Source organism: Homo sapiens, chromosome 11, assembly GCF_000001405.40.
Source record: "Homo sapiens chromosome 11, GRCh38.p14 Primary Assembly".
Taxonomy (NCBI): domain Eukaryota; kingdom Metazoa; phylum Chordata; class Mammalia; order Primates; family Hominidae; genus Homo; species Homo sapiens.
The window spans coordinates 83,142,761-83,148,881 of NC_000011.10; the positions used below are offsets into that span (position 1 = coordinate 83,142,761).

The following is a 6,121-nucleotide window of genomic DNA, read 5'->3' on the forward strand; positions in this document are numbered from 1 at the left end:
CCCACTGGCTTAGAGGAGCTTGATTGAGGATGATTGGCAGTAAGATTCCACACTGAAGGCAGTTGCCCCTGACAGGTAAGTGGGGCAGCTGCAAGCAGGATAGGTGGAGAAATGGTAGTTTCACACAGTGAAGTCTAAAAATGCCTCAAAATATTGATTTTAGAGAGAAACAGGAAGAGGGACACATATCTAGCCAACTGTTCCTGAAAAATAAAAACTGAGGCTTTGACTCATTGGTAGGGGAGAGGTAGCACCACATTTCTCCAATATTTTCTGTTTTTTTGAAATACTTTTATACACATTCTGTCATTTGATCTCTACAATAACTGTGTAGACTAGGTAATTCAGTTCAATAACATTTGAGCATTTTCTAGGTCCTAGTTACTGTCCTTAGTACTATGGGACATGAATATGAATGTCATTGTTCTTTTGCTACAATAATAATTACCATGTATTGGGCTCTAACTGCTTGCCAGGCACTATAGTAAGTTTCATTATTTACTTTTAAAATATATCATCACATTTATTCCTCAAATAATGTATGATATTGCTTTTTGTTTGTTTGTTTTGCTTGTTTTAGACATAAAGAAACTCATGCTTAGAGATATTAATAACTTGCCAAGGTCACATAGTTAAGAAGTCATATTAACACACAATTAAAAAGTAAGACGTGGAACTCTAACCTGGGTTTCTGTGACTTCAAAGCCTTTGTTCTCTCAACAGGTTACCAAAAGATGCTAGTAGTAATTTGGCTAACAGTTGATCAACCCTAGAAATGTGTCTCAAATCCCATATGAAATAAAATAGAATATACATTTAAATAATAAAAATGTTGTAGTCCTTGCAAAATAGGCATTTCTTACACCAACTTTTTTTTTTTTTTTTTTTTTGACACAAGATCTTGCTCTGTTGCCCAGGTTGGAGTGCAGGGGCATAATCATGGCTCACTGCAGCCTTGACCTCCCAGGCTCAAGCAATCCGCCTGCCTCAGCCTCTCGAGTAGCTGGGACCACAGGTGCACACCACTACACCTGGCTAATTTTTTAATTTTTTGTAGATACAAGGACTCACTATATTGCCCACACAAGTCTTGAACTCCTGTGCTCAAGCGATCCTCTTGCCTTGGCCTCCCAAAGTGTTGAGATTACAGGCATAAGTCACTGTGTCCAGCCTCTTACACCAACTTTTGTGGACAGCCATTTGGCATATATCAAAATTTAAAATGCTTAACCCTTGAACTAGCAATTCCACCTTTGTAATTATTGAGTGACTCTAAATAGGCAAATACAGTGTTTTAGGCCGGGTTCTTCCTGAAACAGTCGCTGAGACAAGGCATTGAGTATAAGTAGTTTATTTGGACAGTGACCCCAGAATCACTGGTGAAGGAGTAGGGAAATGAGAAAGTGAAAGGAAGGAAGACCATACACAATGCAAGGTTACTAATGTGGGAAACTGAGGCTCAATCCCACTCAAGGAGACTATATAAAATTTGTCTCAGGCCGGGCGCGATGGCTTATGCCTGTAATCCCAGCAATTTGGGAGGCTGAGGCGGGTGGATCACCTGAGGTCAGGAGTTCAAGGCCAGCCAGACCAACATGGTGAAACCCTGTCTCTACTAAAAATACAAAAAATTAGCCGGGTGTGGTGGCGGGTGCCTGTTATCCCAGCTACTCAGGAAGCTGAGGCAGGAGAATCACTTGAACCCGGGAGGTGGAGGTTGCAGTGAGCCGAGATCGCGCCATTGCACTCCAGCCTGGGTGACAAGAGGAAAACTCTGTCTCAAAAAAAAAAAAAAAAAACTGCCTCAGCGGTGCCTTACCCAAGGAAGTTGGGATATTTACAAATTCCTATCCATCATTGGATGGTGGGCTGCTGGGGAGAGGGGGTTCTTAATGCCTTACCCACCTGTGGACCAAGCTCTCTCCTACCACTGAGAAAGCCTAAGGCATAGTCACAGGTGGTCAAAGTAAAGATTTCACTATGCTTAAGGAAACAATGAGTGCCAAGGGACTATCAGTGAGGCACCCACAGTATCTGTTGTAGTAGATTAATGTACAAAGGTGTTAGTTGGGTCATTGTTTATAATAGCAAAATACTATAAACAACTGAAATATATTTTACTTCAGAAGGGAGGGGTTAAGGTTGCCTAAACAACCTATGACAAAGAGAAGTGATTTCTTTTAAGTTTTTTCAAAAACTTAAACCCAGGGGTCCCTCACTAAGTCTGGAGTATCAGGAAAATCCTTTTTGGGAAAGTGACAATAATCAAGTATATGTTTCAGGGAGGGAATGCTGGAGGGAAACAGTCCAAGCAGAGGAAATGGCATGGCTAAAGCCCTAGTGAAAAAGAGGCTAATGTGGCTGGAATAGAGAGAGAACCAAGGAAGACTGGCTTCCTGAGATTTAAGGGATAGGTAAGGGCAGAGTAAGTAGTACCTTGTGGGATTTGGGACTTGATACTGGGGACAATGGGAAGCTGTAGAGGGGTTTAAGTTTTTGCAGCACTACATCAGTGTAGTGTGGGATAAAAATTAAAAAAAAATTTTTTTTAAGTTTTTGCCGCAGATATTTAGAATGACGGCTCTGGCTGCAGAATAAAGAAATAGGAACCCACAGTACACTACATAGCCTCCAAGTTCTTTGATGGTTTCAAGTGAAGAATATCAGGTTGTCAGGAATGTATCTGAAGCTTGGATTATTTAACATGCTGATTATTGTTGTATTTAAACAAAAAAAATTGATATGTTATTTTCAAATAATAAGAGATACCTATAACTTGTATTACCTAATCTGACTCAACAAAGGATTTTTTTAATGAGAATTTTTAAACTGTTCTAGAATTTTTTTTTTTTTTTTTTTTGAGATGAAATCTTGCTTGCTCTGTCGCCCAGGCTGGAGTGCAATGGCATGGTCTTGGCTCACTACAACCTCCACCTCCCAGGTTCAAGTGATTCTCCTGCCTCAGTCTCCCAAATAGCTGGGATTACAAGTGTGCACCACCATGCCTGGCTAATTTTTCTATTTTTAGTAGAGATGGGGTTTTGCCATTTTGGCCTGGCTGGTCTCGAACTCCTGACCTCAAGTGATCCGCTTGCCTCAGCCTCCCAAAGTGCTGAGATTACAGGCATGAGCCACCGCACCTGGCCCTAGAATTGTTTTTATAAATAGGAAAGACTTTTCACGAGTTTTAAAAAATTAATATTCCATATATTAAGATGACAATTGAAGGACTTTGAATTAAAATAAAGCTAATTATTTTATTATTATTATATTGTAAAATATTTAAATTTACCTTATTAATGTTCAATCAACTCAATTTGAATAAATAAATCTTTATCAAACAAACCTATTTTCAACTTAATTAATTGAGTTTCTTTAAACACTTAAATTGCATTTATAAATTCAATACATTTTCTTTTCTTTTTCTTTTTTTTTTTTTTTTGAGACGGAGTCTCACTCTGTCCCCCAGGCTGGAGTGTAGGGGTGTGATCTTGGCTCACTGCAAGCTCTGCTTCCTGGGTTCATGCCATTCTCCTGCCTCAGCCTCCCGAGTATCTGGACTACAGGCGCCCACCACCACACCCAGCTAATTTTGTTTTTGTATTTTTAGTAGAGACGGGGTTTCACCGTGTTAGCCAGGATGGTCTCGATCTCCTGATCTCGTGATCTGCCTGCCTCGGCCTCCCAAAGTTACAGGCGTGAGCCAGTGCGCCCAGCCCATTTTATTTGCTTTTAAGCACTTTAAATGGTTGGCCTCATAAGCAAAACCTTTCTAAGTTCTTAAGTTCTTTTAAATATTGGAATACTATTTATAAACAGTAAAATTATTTTATAAGCCTAAAATCAATTACTCTGTTACATATTTTTAATTGTGAATTGGAAGATCAAGTGTCAGATTATCTAAAATGCAAAGTTATCTAAAATTATAAATAGTACTTTTTAAGAAGACATGCCTAAATTAATATAATACTCAATTTATTTAAACACCACCTATCTCAAATACAACAAGAGTCTCTGAAAGTATCATTGGAAATACAGATTATCTGAGGTATGGTGTGACAATTCTGATTCAGAGGTAGCAAGTTCTTAGAGTCTTTGGTTGTTGAGGCCTTTGATTTGTAACAGGAGGAGAAAAACATTTCATGGATGGTACAAATAAGACCATAGAAACTTGCAAACAGAATCTTTCTTTGATTACAAATGAAGTGAATAAATAGAAACATGAAAATCCTGGCTCCTCTGTGATCACAGAGCAGCTGATTTTTTCTGGGTTAAACTATAAACATAAAAACTATTTAAAAAATAAATGCACGTATTTGCTTCATTGTTATAGAAATACCTCTTAAATGTTCTAGATAGTGAAGATGTAAAGGTCATGAGTCCAAAACAGACTTTTGGTAAAAGGTAAAATATGCACCAAGAGAAAGAAAAGGAAGCAAATTCTCTGAGCAAAGGATTCACTACAGAGCTAGAATGTTAACGTGCTGCTGATGAGATCAAGATGTTTATCAAGTCTCTATCAGTTATGTCAAACTATCTCACTTATGTAATCAAGGTGACTAGGATATAATTGCCAGAAGTTTACTGAATTACATTTTTAACTTTAGATTTTTTTATTTTATTTCTGAGATTTCCATTTCGTTCTTTTTTCTCGCTTTAGGGATTCATTTCTCTGTTGAAATTGTTTCTCTTTCTATTCATTCATTTATATCTTCTCAAATTCCTTGAATACATTTATAGTAGTTTATTAATGTCCTTGTACACTAATCCATCTGGGTCATTTGCTTTTATTGACCTTTCTTTCTCCTTTGATTTTTAGTCACGTTGCCTGTGTCATCTTAAATTTTTTAATTTTTAATTTCTGTCTGCAAGATATTGTTAAAAAAAACATAGACTCAATATGTGCCTGTAGTCCCAACTACTTGGCAGGCTGAGGCAGGAAGATCACTTGAGACAAGGAGTTGGAGACCATCCTGAGCAACATAGCGAGAGAACCTGTCTCAAAACAAAACAAAACAAAACATGCCACCAGCCAACCAAATTATGCACTGAAGTATATAATTTAACACCCTCCTACCCCCGACCCGGGGCATGCCTTTTTTTTCTGTCAAGAATCTAAGGAGCTCATCACTTTGATTAAATCAATAGTTGAACTGGTCAGGAATGGGCTGCATCTTTAATTAGCTCCATCTCATCTTTGGTTTCAAATGTCTCGAGGAAAATACAGATTTTATGTATAATAGAGGGTTTCAATTTTATGCTCTGTCACACGCTGAGCCAAAATCCTGCTGCTGGATCTTCCCGTCTTCCAAGAATGACTCAGTGTGTGGGGGCAACAGCACCTTAAGCTGACATACTCAACAAGGTTGAAAGGCTGAAGAGTCAGCCTGGGTGACAGAGCGAAGTGGCAGCTTACCCTGGCCACAAACCCCTACTGCTGCCACTTTCTTGTTCCCTTCTCCTCCAATAAGGACTTTAAATACCAAATACATACAGATGATCCCTATATGGTTTTGATTTACTTCATTGTCTCTCTATTTACGAATCCAAGGAAACTGGGGTTACCAGCTCAGCAGAATGAAGTTGTTTATGGACCAGAGATTTTGTCTTGGGCTGCATATACCCAGAACCATTGTTCTTGAGCCAGTAAGGACCACTCTTAGCTCTTTTAAAATGATGTGATAGATTGAATTATTATTCCAATGCTTCATGAACTTCCTGTATTAGCATTCTCCATCTATATCCTTACCACATAACTCTTCAGTGTCTTTCATATGACTAAGCAGAGGATACATCTCCTCCTCCCAACTAATGATGTGCTTGGTCTTGTAACTTGCTTTGGTCAATGAGATGTGGGCCAAAGTGACAACTGTGCCAGTTCCAGGCCAACATCTCAAGGGGCATCTTACGTTTCTGCTTACTTTCTTAGACTCCAGTGACCCTTCATGAGAAGAACATGTCTGCGGTAGCCACTGGTCCAAGGAGAATGAGGAAATATGTAGAGCAGCTTTGAACCTAATCAGCAGTCTGAAGTCAAGCCCAGTGGATTCCAGCCAAGCACAGCAGAACCACAGCCAATCTATAGAACTATGAGAGAGGAAATAAATATTTGTGGCTATAA

The 6,121-nt window shown here is 38.8% G+C and overlaps 1 long non-coding RNA gene across 1 annotated transcript; it reads left to right on the top strand.

Annotated features, from left to right (window-relative positions):
• Window positions 1-2,304: 2,304 nt before the first annotated feature.
• On the top strand, window positions 2,305-6,121 carry LOC124902726 (uncharacterized). Its single transcript, XR_007062803.1, has 2 exons — window positions 2,305-2,414; window positions 5,930-6,121. It is a non-coding gene; the product is annotated as an uncharacterized LOC124902726 (long non-coding RNA).